This window comes from Homo sapiens, chromosome 22 (genome assembly GCF_000001405.40).
Source record: "Homo sapiens chromosome 22, GRCh38.p14 Primary Assembly".
NCBI classification, from domain to species: Eukaryota; Metazoa; Chordata; class Mammalia; order Primates; family Hominidae; genus Homo; species Homo sapiens.
In genome coordinates, this window is record NC_000022.11 from 20,029,371 (window position 1) to 20,042,689 (window position 13,319).

Consider the following 13,319-nt stretch of genomic DNA (forward strand, 5'->3'; position numbering starts at 1 on the left):
TCCTTCACAGACAGCGCCATGCTCTAAGAATAACCCATGCCAAGTCCAGGCTTTCTTCCTGTTTTGCAGAATTACCAGGTTGTTAGGCTAGGGGAACGTATGCTGGGATTCTGGGAAGAATTCCACCCGCACTGGTATTCTTAGAGGACGGGAAGCCCTTGGCTGCGGTGTGAAGAGGGCTCTCTCTTTCCATTCATATCTCATAGATCCTCTGGCCAGGCTTGGGGGTGTTGAGGGACTCCAGGAGTGTGGGGGGAACTTCCTCCCTGGAAGAGGCCTGTGCTCTGTCCCTGCTGAGGCTGGTGGCATTTGCAGTCACATGGTGAGCTCACAGTGACTGTCCCCCTCTTACCTCCCTGGCAGGGTTGGCAAAGACCACACCAAAGTCCCAAGTGATTAGTTCCCCGGCCTCCCTGCACAGAGGCTGTGCATGTCCCCTGGGCATTCACTCTAGCTGTCTGGGCTGCAGGGAGGCAGGGTGCCTGGCCCAACTGGAGATGGCACTCTACTGGGGGTGGTTAAGTGTTGACCATCACAAAGGCGACCTCTTTTGTCACATCTGTGTGAGAGGAGCTGGACTTTCTCAGATATGGATGAGCCTCACGACGCACATCCTTTCGTCCCTTGCTTGTCTACCAAGTCCCTATGTGCTCCAGGAGGCAGTGGTACAGGCCAGCCGCTCCGTATGACCAGAGAACCAGTGCCTCACACTCCAGCGCATTTCCTTCCCAGGGTGCACCAGGACTCTTGTAAAGAGGGCATTCTCGTGTAAGCAGTTGCTTTTTTTTTTTTTTTTTTTAATTTTTATTTTTTTGAGATGGAGTTTCCCTCTTGTCTCTTAGGCTGGAGTGCAATGGCACGATCTCGGTTCACTGCAACCTCCACCTCGTGGGTTCAAGTGATTCTCCTGCCTCAGCCTCCTCAGTAGCTAGGATTATAGGCACGCACCACCACACCTGGCTAATTTGTTTGTTTGTTTGTTTGTTTGTTTTTTGAGATGGAGTCTTGCTCTGTTGCCCAGGCTGGAGGACAGTGGTACGATCTTGGCTCACTACAACCTCTGCCTCCTGGGTTCAAGCAAGTCTTCTGTCTCAGCCTCCCAAGTAGCTGGGACTACAGGCGCCCGCCACCACGCCCGGCTAATTTTTGTATTTTTAGTAGAGACAGGGTTTCACCATATTGGCCAGGCTGGTCTCGAACTCTTGACCTCGTGATCCACCCACCTTGGCCTCCCAAAGTGCTGGAATTACAGGCGTGATAATTTTTGTATTTTTAGTAAAGATGGGGTTTCACCATGTTGGCCAGGCTGGCCTCAAACTCCTGACCTCAGGTGATCCACCCGCCTTGGCTTCCCAAAGTGTTGGGATTACAGGCGTGAGCCACCTCGCCCAACCAGCAGTTGCTGTAAAATTTTTTAAAAGGATGTCACTTATACTACCCAGTCATTAAGACTTCCTGAGGTGGAAAGATCACTTCAGCCCATGAGTTTGAGAATAGCCTGGGCAACATAATGAGACCCCACCTCTCCAAAAAAATTTAAAAATTAGGGCCAGGCGTGGTGGCTCATGTCTGTAATACCAGCACTTTGGGAGGCCAAGGTGGGTGGGTCACAAGGTCAGGAGATCGAGACCATCCTGGCCAACATGGTGAAACCCCATCTCTACTAAAAATACAAAAATTAGCTGGGTGTGATGGCACGCACCTCTAGTCCCAGCTATTTGAGAGGCTGAGGCAGGAGAATCGCTTGAACCAGGGAGGAGGAGGCTGCAGTGAGCTGAGATCGCGCCGCTGCACTCCAGCCTAGGTGACAGATCGAGACTCTGTCTCAAAAAAAAAAAATTAGCCGGGTGTGGTGGTATGCAGCTGTAATCTTAGCTACTTGGGAGGCTGAGGTGGGAGGATGGCTTGAGCCCAGGAGTTCGAGGCTGCAGTGAGCTATGATCACACGACTGCACCTGGGCGACAGAGTGGAGGTGATGTGCTTCCTCAAATAGCCATGAGAACAACGCTTCTTTTCTTGTCCTGGCTCAGGAACCTCACCACCATGCCACGTTGCCCTGCTGCGCTGTGCTGGTGTCGTAGGTCGGTGGCAGGACATTTGCCCACCTCACAGGCTCTGCTTTCAGTCTTGAAGTATGGCTCCTCTCGACTGCTGCCCACACGGCCTCCTGTTGTCAGCCTGGGCTACATATCTGGGCTCTTCCATCCCTGTGGGCCTGGTGAGGCCTGGCCATGTGCCTGTGTCATGCCAGTTGCTTTCAAGATGATGTTTCTAGTAGGACCACATGTGAACACAGTGACCACCATGGCCAGGAGGAAGCTGGCTGCCCATCACCAGCTTGCCCAGGGACCTCTTGCACCCTGGCGGGGATCAGCAGATCCTGCTATGAGAGAGCAGAAGGCAGCATGCTGACTTCCAGGAGTGTCCACAGCGTGGCTGGGCAGAGCAGAGCTACAAATGAACAGATCCAGTGCCGAGGCCATCCTGACTCTCTCAGGGGCTGCCAGGCCGTGGGTGCAGGGTCCAGCAGGCCCACTTGATCCCAGCATCCCACGTGTGCCTGCTCGGGGTGGCCAGCTCACTGCTTCTTCACCTCTAGCCCAACCAGCAGGTGCCCCACCATGAGCCCCTCCAGGCTCACCTTGCCCATCCCTGCCATGTGACCTGGGACTCTTGAGATGAGATCACAGCTGCAGAGCACACAGCACAGGGAGGAGCTCATCAGCATCTTCCCACCTGTGGTGCCCTGGCCCAGCCTCCTTCCGGTTGGGGTTGGACCCGCCCTGGCAGCCAGGTTTTGCGTCACCTGCCCCACCCGCCCTGTAACCTACTTGCCCAACTGCTATCCCGGTGGCCGTGAGGCCAGTTGACAGAATGGAGAGGGGTAAGCATTTTCCGCCTGGAGAGGATGGGCGTGTGGCCATCTGACTGCTTCTGCAAGCCTGGTGGTTGTGTGCAGGCTGCCCTGGTGGTCTTAGCCCCTTGGGGCAGGCGGGGTCCTGTGCAGGATGCAGAGACTGGGCGTGGCTTCCTGCAGATGTTCAGATGCTTCTGGGCTGTGGCCTCTGAGACCCAGGGCAAGGCTGCTGACTGGACCCCAGACCCTCCTGCCTGCCTCTTCCTCCAGCTGCTCTTTGTGGTCTGGTTCTGGCCGCCTGGGCCTCAGGGCCAACCCTGCATGGCTTTGACCACTCTGGCCTTCTTGGACTGCCAAGGACATGCTGAGAGTTGGTTGGGCTTGGCCCAAGTGCTGAGCCCAGGGCAGGGGTGGGGACAGGCAGGGCGGAGCCTCACCTGGAAAGCCAGGCACGATTCTCCCTGGGACACCAACCCTCCTGTAGAGTTGGCCAATTCGGGCAACCTTGAGGGCGAGCTCTGTGTGGCACAAGAGATGCCCTGAGGAGCCCAGCCTCACCTGGTGTGATGGGACCTGTGGAAGTTGTGGGAAGTGGTCCTGGCCACCCGTGTGCCCACATGCCCTGCGCCCAGATCAAGATATGGTGACCAAAAGGACAAGGACTATATCCATGGCTCCCTCCCAGAGCCTGGCAAGTCAGCAGGCATGAGAGGGTGTTGGAATGCTGTGGTGGGCCTGTGTGGGGACCTTGTAGGACCTAGGGAACCTGCAGGGCTTGGCTTAGGGAGCACACAGGGGCCCAGGCAAAGGCAAGGTCACAGGTCGGGGGAGGTGAAGCTGGCAGGGGGAGGGGGAGACCTGCTGGCTAGAGCTGGGTTGGGGGCCGGTGGGCAGTGGGCCTGGCTCGAGCAGGGGGCGAGGGATTGGAGAGAAAGGCAGTTCCTGATGGTCCCCTCCCCAGGGGCTGGCTTTCCTCTGGTCCTTCCCTCCCAATGACCGCGTCTTCGTCGAGGCCACAGCCCTTGGCTCTGCGCCCACACCTCCAGTGCCAGGCTGTCCGGAGATCTGTTTATGGCCTTCCCTTGGACCATGGAGCCCTCCCTGCCACTGGTGCCTGGAGGGCTGGTCTGCTGCCCCTGCACCCTGGCCAGCTAGGATGGTGGGGTCCTGCAGCTGAACTGGGGGTGCCTTTCTGCCTGTCTGTCCTACGTGTATCAGTGGCCAGAACTGCCCTCATCCATGGCCTTGCCAGCAGCTGGGCGTGCAGCCCAGGGAGGGCTGAGGTCGGCTGAAGTTGATTGAGACCAACGGCCTTCTCTAACACCCCAGAGGAGCATGTCCCTGGTGAGCAGGCCTTGGGCAGCCCTGGGCTCCAGGCCAGTGGGATTCCAGTAGAGACCAGCTGGCAGGGCTTCTCCAGTGACTGCAGCCAGGGGTTCTCATGTGCAGGAAAGACCAGCTCCTCCAGAGTAAAGGGACTTGTGTCTTCTGGCCACATGGTGAGTGCTGGGCCCACCCCATCAGTGGCACCTTGGGTGCACTCCCAAAGCCCAGCGTGTTCCCCATCTTCCTGCACTGCATTCGGGATGGTTCTGCATCATCAGCTGCACCTGATTGCTCTTAAACCCACAGCTGAGCTTTAATGTGCAGTCACTGAAGCTTTCATTTCTAAAATAGCTTCCTAAGAGTTCTTTTGGCCAGGCATGGTGGCTCATGCCTGTAATCCTAACACTTTGGGAGGCCGAGGTGGGTGGATCACCTGAGGTCAGGAGTTGGAGACCAGCCTGACCAACATGGAGAAACCCCGTCTCCACTAAAAATACAAAATTAGCTGGGCGTGGTGGCGCATGCCTGTAATCCCAGCTACTCGGGAGGCTGAGGCAGGAGAATTGCTTGAACTCGGGGGGCGGAGGTTGCGGTGAGCCGAGATTATGCCAGCCAGCCTGGGCAACAGGAGCAAAAACAAAACAACAACAACAAAAAAAAACCGAGTTCCTTTTGCTGCTTTGTAAACCCAGTTTGCTCTTCATCACTTCCTTTGCCCTGCAGATGTTTCTGAGCTGTCTGTTTTCTTTCTGCCATCAGAGCATGGTTGGTTGATGATGCATGTACGGTTATCTTTCTGCTGGTTCTTGCTCATGGTGCTTCTTTCATTATGTGGTTCTTTCTGACTATGTACTGCTTCTGGTCTTTGAAAAATGATTTTGAGACTTCTTTGAAGTATAGGATGAAGGTATCTTTCTCCAGAGAGAACTTCAGGCACAGGGGCACTACGAGTGCTGGAACCCCTTAAAACTGTGCTTGGCTTGTGGGTCCTTGTACCCCCAGTGTGGACCTGGACGGCTGGCTGTGCCACAGCTTCTCAGAAACTTCCCTTCACTTATGTGCAATGTCCCCATAACCCCTGGGGGTGGCTGCGGCTGTAGTTCATCTCTCCCTAAGCATCGCTCTTTGGAGTCCCAGCCTAACTTAGAGGAGAGTCTTCTGTTAGGTTCTTCATCCTGTGGGGGTGACTGGACCTTGTCTTCTGTCTCCTTCGCCCCCGAGGCCACCAGAGTATGAGCCCCAGTGTGTTCAGTGGGCAAACGCTCTCAGGCAGGATTGGCCACTGTGTTCTGCTGTCCTCTGTGGGCCACGCTCTCCGAACTGTTGGCCAAATGCTGCATGAGCTCATCAGCTCCTGGCAATTTTTAAGATGTTTTCATATTTCATCCAGCATCTTGAGTTGTTTTTACCAAAAGGATTGCCCCTAGTAGCCTGCCCACCCTCGGATGATGGCCCCCTGTGGGCGCTTCCAGGGCACCCGGCAAGGGGACCCAACCCACTTCCAGCCCCACAGTCTGCTTCCCACAGGGCCCCCTTGCAACAACACACCCTTTAGCTTCCCATCCTATGCAGAGTGGTGGCCAGCAGACCATCTCAAATGGCTGCCCATCCCCCTGACCCAGTGCGTCTGCACGTGGCGCTTATTGCTATCCCAATACTTCAACTGCACAGCCACCAGCTCCTCACTGGAGCAGATGGTCCCCAATGGCCATCCCTAATGCCCGTGCCTATGGAGGCACATACACTGAGCCCTCTTCACCTCCGTCCCCACTCATTAGACTTTTCTCAGAGGAATCTTTTTGGGTCTCTTCAGTATTTGAACAGCTTCTTGGCTGTCCCATGTCCCAGCTGTGAGCACTGGCTCTGCCCTGGAGCCGTGTCACTAAATCATTGCACATGTGCACATTTCAGGGAACTTGGGTGTCACCCTTGGGTGGCCTCGGAATCTAATCTCCGTTCTGCACTCGTTTGCATTGTGGAAAACTGCCTGCTCTGGGCCCCAGAGGTCCCTGGGTGGGGACGAGGTGTATGCTAAGTGTGCAGTCACCCAGCGTGTCCCCGGCACGTGTCCATGCCAGCTGCTGTGGGTGTGTGGGGCCTTCGGGTCCTGTGGGATGGCGAGTGTGTGTGCTGAGCAGGACCTGTAGGGCCTGCATCCCAGGTGAGTGGGCCATGCTGTTGGAGGCGGAGGCAGGGCTGCCCCCACTGGTGGCGTGTGGGGTGGGTTTGGTGCTGTTGCAGGGGAGGAGATGTGCATGTGGGGGACAGTCTTGAAGGAAGAATGTATACAGTGGTCTATTTCCAAGACAAAGTGTCTTAAATTGGCTTAGCTCAGCAAACTACAGAAGAAACAGGATATACTAGGCCACCCTGCTTGGATAGCTGATGTGTGCTTGTCGGCCTCCACTTTCCCCGCACTTAGTTGCCTTCACCCGAACCAAAGAAGTTCAGTCTAAGCTGAAAGTTTACTAGCCTGCAAAATAGCTCATTTTGTCTGTTCTTATCAGCCTGCCTGCTACTTAGGTCGTAAGTTAAATACTTAAAAAGTCCCTGAGCTAACTAGGACTGCAATGCATTGTGGGCTGCAACAAAATACAGCAAGACAAGCCCCCAAAAAAACACCTGAAGCCCCTACCCAACAATTAATAGGCGACGTCCGGGAAAATTGTGACCCCACAGTACTCGGCCTATGAGGAACTGGGGGAGGGACCTGCGTACTAGGGGATAAATTGCTTGTCGAAACTGTGCTGGGTGTGCCTGTCTGACACCTGATCTTGCAAGACTGTCATTAAAAGTCTCACTTTCGCTGTTCTCTGGGTCTGAGTTCATTCTTTAGATTTGGATGGGTAAGTTTGTTTCTCACAGTGTGGCTCCTGCCCTCACTTCTGCTGCCCCCCGGGGACCCCCTCGGCACCCCAGCTCGGTGTGTCCAGGCCTTAAGACTACCATGGTGCTGATGGGATGCTTCTGTTCAGGGCTGGTGTTGCAGGTGGTGGAGAGACAGTCTGGCCAGTGCCAATGAGTGCATGGGTTTGGGAGTTGTTTGTGTGGCACCGGCCAAGAGTGTGGTGTCCAGTTCCCCCACACCCAGCAAGTAGTACAGACACCACAGAGGTGGTTCTCTCTGTTCTGGCCTGTTGCAGGTTCGGAGGGCAGCCCTGAGTGTCTGCCATCCGCTCAACTCAGTGTTTTCCTTTTCCCGCAGACCTCGCGACCTGTGTCAGCAGAGCCGCCCTGCACCACCATGTGCATCATCTTCTTTAAGTTTGATCCTCGCCCTGTTTCCAAAAACGCGTACAGGTAACCCCCTCGCTCTGCATCTGCTGCGCCCTGCAGGGTCCTGGGTGCCCAGCCAGTTCTCATGCCACCCAAGCTGCTGTGTGCAGGAAGGTGTGTGGGCCAGGACGGGGCTGCACAGGCCTGGCACTGCCCTCCAGGACAGGGTCACTCAGTGTGGGATGCTGTCAGAATGCCTCTCGGGGCGGGGACTCCAGTCAATGTACAAAGACGTGAAGACTCAGCCACAGAAGGCAGCCACAGGTAGGACAGAGGAGTGACATGGGTCCAGGTGGGCTGCAGTTCTATGGGCTTTGAGGAGGGTCGGGCGGCAGAACTGGGACAACGGCGTCAGTGAGTGAGAGCCAGCTTGGGCTGGCGGGTCACAGCTGCTGGTGAGAAGTCAAAGTGGCGGCCAGGCTAGGGGTCTGTGGGTGGGTCCTGAGCTGAGGAAAAAGAACCTGGGGAAGAGGGGACGCTGAGGACCAGCCAGAGGAGTCAGGAAATCGAGGCCAGAAGCCACCCCTGACCCTGGACTCAGGACGGCCACACCTCCATTCCCCAGGACACCCCAGCATTTATCCACACAGAGAACGAGGCAGAGATATAACCCACATCTAAAATGAAACGTGTAACCACTCTCTAATGCAACTGCTCGGGAAGTTTTCATCATTTTAAAATCTGTACCAGAAATGATTTGAACCATTTCAAGAGGGTCTCAGATTTGAGTCACTGCAAAGTTGCATAGACACCATGCTGCTTGACTTCAAGGCTGAGTGAAGTCATTTCAGGCCAAGGAATCAGGAAGGAAGGGTGTCTGGTGTTTTCCCTTTTTGCAGTTGGGTGAGTGGCAGGTCCCAGCAGCAGACAGCATGCTGCAGGGAAGGTGGAAGAAATGTTAGGAAAGAACTATTGACTGCTACAGGGACTGGAGTAGTGTTGGGCTGGCTAGTGAGTGAACAGAACTCTAAAGAATGTAGGGGCTGGCCGAGCACGGTGGCTCACGCCTGTAATCCCAGCACTTTGGGAGGCCAAGGTGGGCGGATCACAAGGTCAGGAGATCCAGACCATCCTGGATAACACATCTCTACTAAAAACACACAAAAAAATTAGCTGGGCATGGGGGTGGGCGCCTGTAGTCCCAGCCACTTGGGAGGCTGAGACAAGAGAATGGCGTGAACCTGGGAGGCAGAGCTTGCAGTGAGCCGAGATTGCGCCACTGCACTCCAGCATGGGCAACAGAGCGAGACTGCATCTCAAAAAAAAGATGAAGGTAAAATAAGGTCATGTGGGTAGGCCCTAATCAATGTGATGGGTGACTCAGATACGCACAGGGGAAGCTGGTGTGTATACAGAGATAGAAGCAGTCGTCTGCATACCGAGAAGACCCTCAAAAGGAGCCAGCCCTGCTGACGCCTTGATCTTGGATCTCCAGCATCCAATGCTGCGAGACAATAGTGTCTGTTGTTGCAGCCGCCTGGTCTGTGGTGCTTAGTTACGGCAGCCCCAGGAAACTAGCACGCTGAGGAGAGCCAGCCAGCTCTGTATGCGTTTCAGGGCTGCCTCCTGCAGGCTGCTGAAGAGACTCAACCCACCCCGAGTGCTCCCATCTCTGGAAAGGAAGCTTGATGGCTGGCCTGCGGGTGCTGGTCAGTGCCACCCAGCCCCTTGGGTGGAGAGGAGGAGGGTTGACATGGGCCCCTCTTGCTTTCACTCAGAACCCGTGTGTTGCTGCCAGGACCTGTCCTGCGGGTCCTGCCATTCCAGTTGGCCTCGGGATTTCTCTGGACTATTTTCCGAAGCCCTAAGCCAAAGACGAAATGTGCCACCTCTGGGTGACTGAGCAAATGTGCGCTGTGTTTTCCTGACTTCATGGGAGGGTGTGAGACACTTCTGGTGGCTGCTTCTGCTCTGCCTGTGGGGTGTCCAGCCAGGGGAAGGGCACGCTGCAGGCTGGGAGCACAGACACTTCTATGGAGCCCCTGACAGCACCTCTGCAGCACTTTGGGAGGCCTCGTACAGGTACCCAGCTAGGCTGGGCTGGACTCCTCACCTGTGGACTGGAGTAAAAAGTAGGGTGCTTTAGGCCACTATGTTTTTTTTTTTTATTATTATTATTATTATTTTAGAGACAGGATCTTGCTCTGTTGCCCAGGCTGGAGTACAGTGGTATGATCATAGCTTACTGCAGCCTCAAACTCGCCGGCTCAAGCGATCCTCCCACTTCAGCATGCCTAAGTAACTGGGACTACAACACCATGCCCGGCTAATTTTTTTTTTTTTGGTAGAGACAAGTTCTCACTATGTTGTCCAGGGTGGTCTCGAACTCCTGGGCCCAAGTGATCCTCCTGCCTCAGCCTCCCAAAATGCTGGGATTACATGCGTGAGCCACCATGCCCGGCCTCGGCCACTGTATTTGGTAATTTGATACCCATCACGGAAAACCAAGACCCTGCAGCAAGATAACACAATCACTTCATGATGTCACCCTATCTCTTTCAAAACTGCCTGTTTACAGCCGGGTGCGGTGGCTCACGCCTGTAATCCCAGCACTTTGGGAGGCTGAGGTGGGTGGATCACTTGAGGTCAGGAGTTCGAGACCAGCCTGGCCAACATGGTGAAACCCCATCTCTACTAAAAATACAAAAATTAGCCTGGCATGGTGGCGCACACCTGTAATCCCAGCTATTAGGGAGGCTAAGGCAGGAGAATTGCTTGAGCCTGGGAGGCAGAGGTTACAGGGAACTGAGATAGCGCCACTGCACTCCAGCCTGGATGACAGAGTGAGACTCCATCTTAAAAAAAAGAAAAAACGAAAAAAAACCTGCCTGTTTACAGCCCCACGTGATGCCACTTGCTGGCTTCAGCCTAGAGTGGCTGCAGGACAAGCTGTTACTCCATGGGACAGCTTCCATGGGGTCACCACTGAGGGTTTGATCACTGGATCTCAGGCCAGAGTACCTCCTATCTGTCACCAAACTGTCCCCCAGACAGTGCACACACTCACCCCCCGGCAGAACACACTCACCCCCCGAGATGATGCACATACCCCCCGGACAGTACACGCACTCACCCTGCCTAGCAGCGTGGGTGTCAGGTGGTGATGGATAATTAGTGGTTTCAGTTATTGGAACAAAATAAAGCCGAGGTGACTTGCCATCCTCAGGGACCTCACCGTGGTGGGTGCATCCCTGTCTCTCTGGACGTGGGGCGCAGATAGGCTTCTACCCATGTGCAGCCCCACCAGTGATGACTGAGAGAGCTACTTCCTCCTCCCTTTGGGGCTTGATCTGGGTGCTCAGCATGCTGGCTTGTCCCTGAATTATGTATTCAATGAAATCCCTGGCAAACCACCAGCAATTCAGCTAAACATGACTGCTGGAACAAAAATAACCTGGCAATTAATGTTCCTGAGTTATTAGGCAAACATATATAATTGCTCCTTGTTTAAAAACAGACAGCTGAACATCTTAGGACAAAAGTCCATGCTCAGTCAGCTTTTCTTCCTACTTTTCTCCCCTTTATTTTCCCTTTGTAAGAGCATTATGTCAGAATCAGCACCCGAAGCCAACAGCCCCAGCCTGGTTTGGGGCTGGACTGGGATGAGGTGTCCCTGGCTCCCCCGACCCCTGTTCACCTGCAGGGCTGTGGGACGTGGAAGCAGAGGAGGAAGGTATTTAAGAGAGAATGCTGAGCAGAACCACATGGAGCTTGACCCCACCCATAGGGTGGAGGAGCTGTCATCCCAGACCCTGGCACATCCCCACCATAGCACTCAGGGACTGCGGTGTTCCCCCTTCTCCTGCCCGCTGGCCAGGACACAACCAATGGGCACCTACAGGACTGGCCCATCCAGGTCTGGGGCAAGTGCACTGCCTTCTACTAGCACTGTCCAGCCCAGGGAAGGTGGGCTCTCCTGCCATCCCTGCTGCAGAGGTTGGGGGGCACTTCTGCCCAGAAGGGACATGGAGACTTGGGCTGGGTCTGGGTTGAAACATGGCAGTTAGAGGTACAAAGGCTGAGGCTCATCAGGGACAGAGACCACCTCCCCCTACCCCAGGCAGCACATCCCTGAGACCTGGTGCAGCCCTGGGGCCAGCTGGGTGTCAGACCAGGCTGAATGGGGCACCCTGGAGGTGGTAAGGCTTCCATAGCAGACCCCAAGGGCTCTAGGGCATGGCACAGTCCCTGGCAATGACCAAAAGCATTTCCCCAGTTCTGCTGGCAAGAAGCTTCAGGGGCAGGCACTGAGTGGGGGGCACACATGTGCACACAGGTGTGAATGCCTCCAAGGGCATGAATGGTGGGTGCTAGCACCATGTACTTTTTTGTTTGAAATGGAGTTTCGTTCTGTCGCCCAGGCTAGAGTGCAGTGGCACGATCTCAGCTCCCTGCAACCTCCGCCTCCCGGGTTCAAGCAATTCTCTGCCTCAACCTCTCGAGCAGCTGGGATTACAGGCGCCCGCCACCACACCCGGCTAATTTTTTTTTTTTTTTTTTGAGACGGAGTCTTGCTCTGTCACTCAGGCTGGAGTACAGTAGCATGATCTCGGCTCACTGCAAACTCTGCCTCCCGGGTTCACACCATTGTCCTGCCTCAGCCTCCCGAGTAGCTGGGACTACAGGCGCCCGCCACCACACCTGGCTAATTTTTTGTATTTTTAGTAGAGACGGGGTTTTACCGTGTTAGCCAGGATGGTCTCGATCTCTTGACCTCGTGATCCTCCCACCTTGGCCTCTCAAAGTGCTGGGATTACAGGCGTGAGCCACCGGGCCCGGCCTAATTTTTGTATTTTTAATAGAGATGGGGTTTCACCATCTTGGCCAGGCTGGTCTTGAACTCCTGACCTCATGATCCACCCACCTCGGCCTCGCAAAATGCTGGGATTACAGGCATGAGCCACCGTACCCAGCTGTGAGCACCACTTTCACTCCCAATTTTATGAATGTCTGTTATTTCACATTTAATCAGGAGCAAATGTTGTTTTATGAAATTGATGTGCAATGATCAATATGGAAATTATTTTTAAACACTTGTCGGGCTCTCACCACTGCAACTTGGTTTCAGACTCAGATTGTGATGGCAGGACAGCTGAGCTCTGCTCCTTGGAGCTGCCTCTCCGGCACAAGTGCTCAGGGGGTCTTCAGCCATCACTTTTTTTTTTTTTTTAGAGACAGGGCTTCTCTGTTCCCCAGGTTGGAGTGCAATGGTGCAGTCACAGTTCACTGCAGCCTCAAACTCCTGGGCTCAAATGATCCTGCTGCCTCAGCCTCCCCAGTAGTTGGGAATACAGGCATGCACCACCACACCTGACTAATTTTTGTATTTTTTTTTTGTAGATATGGGGTCTTACTTTCTTGCCCAAGCTGGTCTCAAAACTCCTAGCCTCAAGTGATCCTCCCACTTTGGCCTCCCAAACTGCTGGGATTACAGGTGTCATCCACTGTGCCTGGCCCAGCCATCGCTTCTTAGACCCTCAGGTCTAATGGACATTGCAGGAACTGACCCCTTCCACTCAGTCACTGCTGTGTCCTTATTTGTTTTCTTCTAATGTCCAAGCTGGGACTTGAAAGTCAGTTTTCTTTCCTCAAGACCAGGGCTCTTAAAGTTTAGATGTCTCTCCTAATTCCAAAAGAAATATTTGTTTGATTAGGCTGGATGTGGTGGCTCACACCTGTAATCCTCCGCCTCGGAGGCCGAGGCGGGTAGATCATTTGAGGTCAGGAGTTCAAGACCAGCTTGGCCAACATGGTGAAACCCCATCTCTACTAAAAATACAAAAAATTAGCTGGGTGTGGTGGCGGGTGCCTGTAATCCCAGCTACTCAGGAGGCTGAGGCGGGAGAATAGCTTGAACCC

General features: G+C 54.4%; 1 protein-coding gene and 1 non-coding gene across 60 annotated transcripts in view, besides 4 other annotated features; both read left to right on the forward strand.

Annotated features, from left to right (window-relative positions):
• Positions 1-13,319, forward strand: part of TANGO2 (transport and golgi organization 2 homolog) — a 50,142-nt gene that overhangs the window by 12,348 nt on the left and 24,475 nt on the right. For 33 of the 59 annotated variants that reach the window (NR_136212.1, NR_136211.2, NR_136206.2 and 30 more), the window contains one exon: positions 7,390-7,484. Coding sequence is in view for 42 of the 59 variants with exons in the window: in XM_017028580.2 (XP_016884069.1) it covers positions 7,429-7,484 (56 nt within the window). In the remaining 17 variants the exon portion in view is untranslated. Of the gene's footprint in view, positions 1-7,389; positions 7,725-13,319 lie in introns of all 59 variants that reach the window. The other 26 variants (NR_104275.3, XM_047441121.1, XM_047441118.1 and 23 more) reach the window with 1 other exon arrangement.
• Positions 1,783-2,479: an enhancer, noted in NCBI's record as "H3K4me1 hESC enhancer chr22:20018676-20019372 (GRCh37/hg19 assembly coordinates)". NCBI's record gives its function as "activates a minimal SCP1, AML or CMV promoter by ChIP-STARR-seq in primed H9 embryonic stem cells {active_cell/tissue: H9 hESC(primed)}" and the evidence as "EXISTENCE:reporter gene assay evidence [ECO:0000049][PMID:30033119]".
• Positions 2,914-3,133: an enhancer, noted in NCBI's record as "active region_18668". NCBI's record gives its function as "activates an Ori minimal core promoter by ATAC-STARR-seq in GM12878 lymphoblastoid cells {active_cell/tissue: GM12878}" and the evidence as "EXISTENCE:reporter gene assay evidence [ECO:0000049][PMID:35858748]".
• Positions 3,769-3,850, forward strand: MIR185 (microRNA 185). The gene has a single exon (NR_029706.1). It is a non-coding gene; the product is annotated as a microRNA 185 (primary transcript).
• Positions 4,817-4,886: an enhancer, noted in NCBI's record as "active region_18669". NCBI's record gives its function as "activates an Ori minimal core promoter by ATAC-STARR-seq in GM12878 lymphoblastoid cells {active_cell/tissue: GM12878}" and the evidence as "EXISTENCE:reporter gene assay evidence [ECO:0000049][PMID:35858748]".
• Positions 9,176-9,337: a silencer, noted in NCBI's record as "fragment chr22:20026069-20026230 (GRCh37/hg19 assembly coordinates)". NCBI's record gives its function as "represses an EF-1alpha promoter that drives an FKBP-Casp9 reporter gene in an ReSE screen in K562 erythroleukemia cells {active_cell/tissue: K562}" and the evidence as "EXISTENCE:reporter gene assay evidence [ECO:0000049][PMID:32094911]".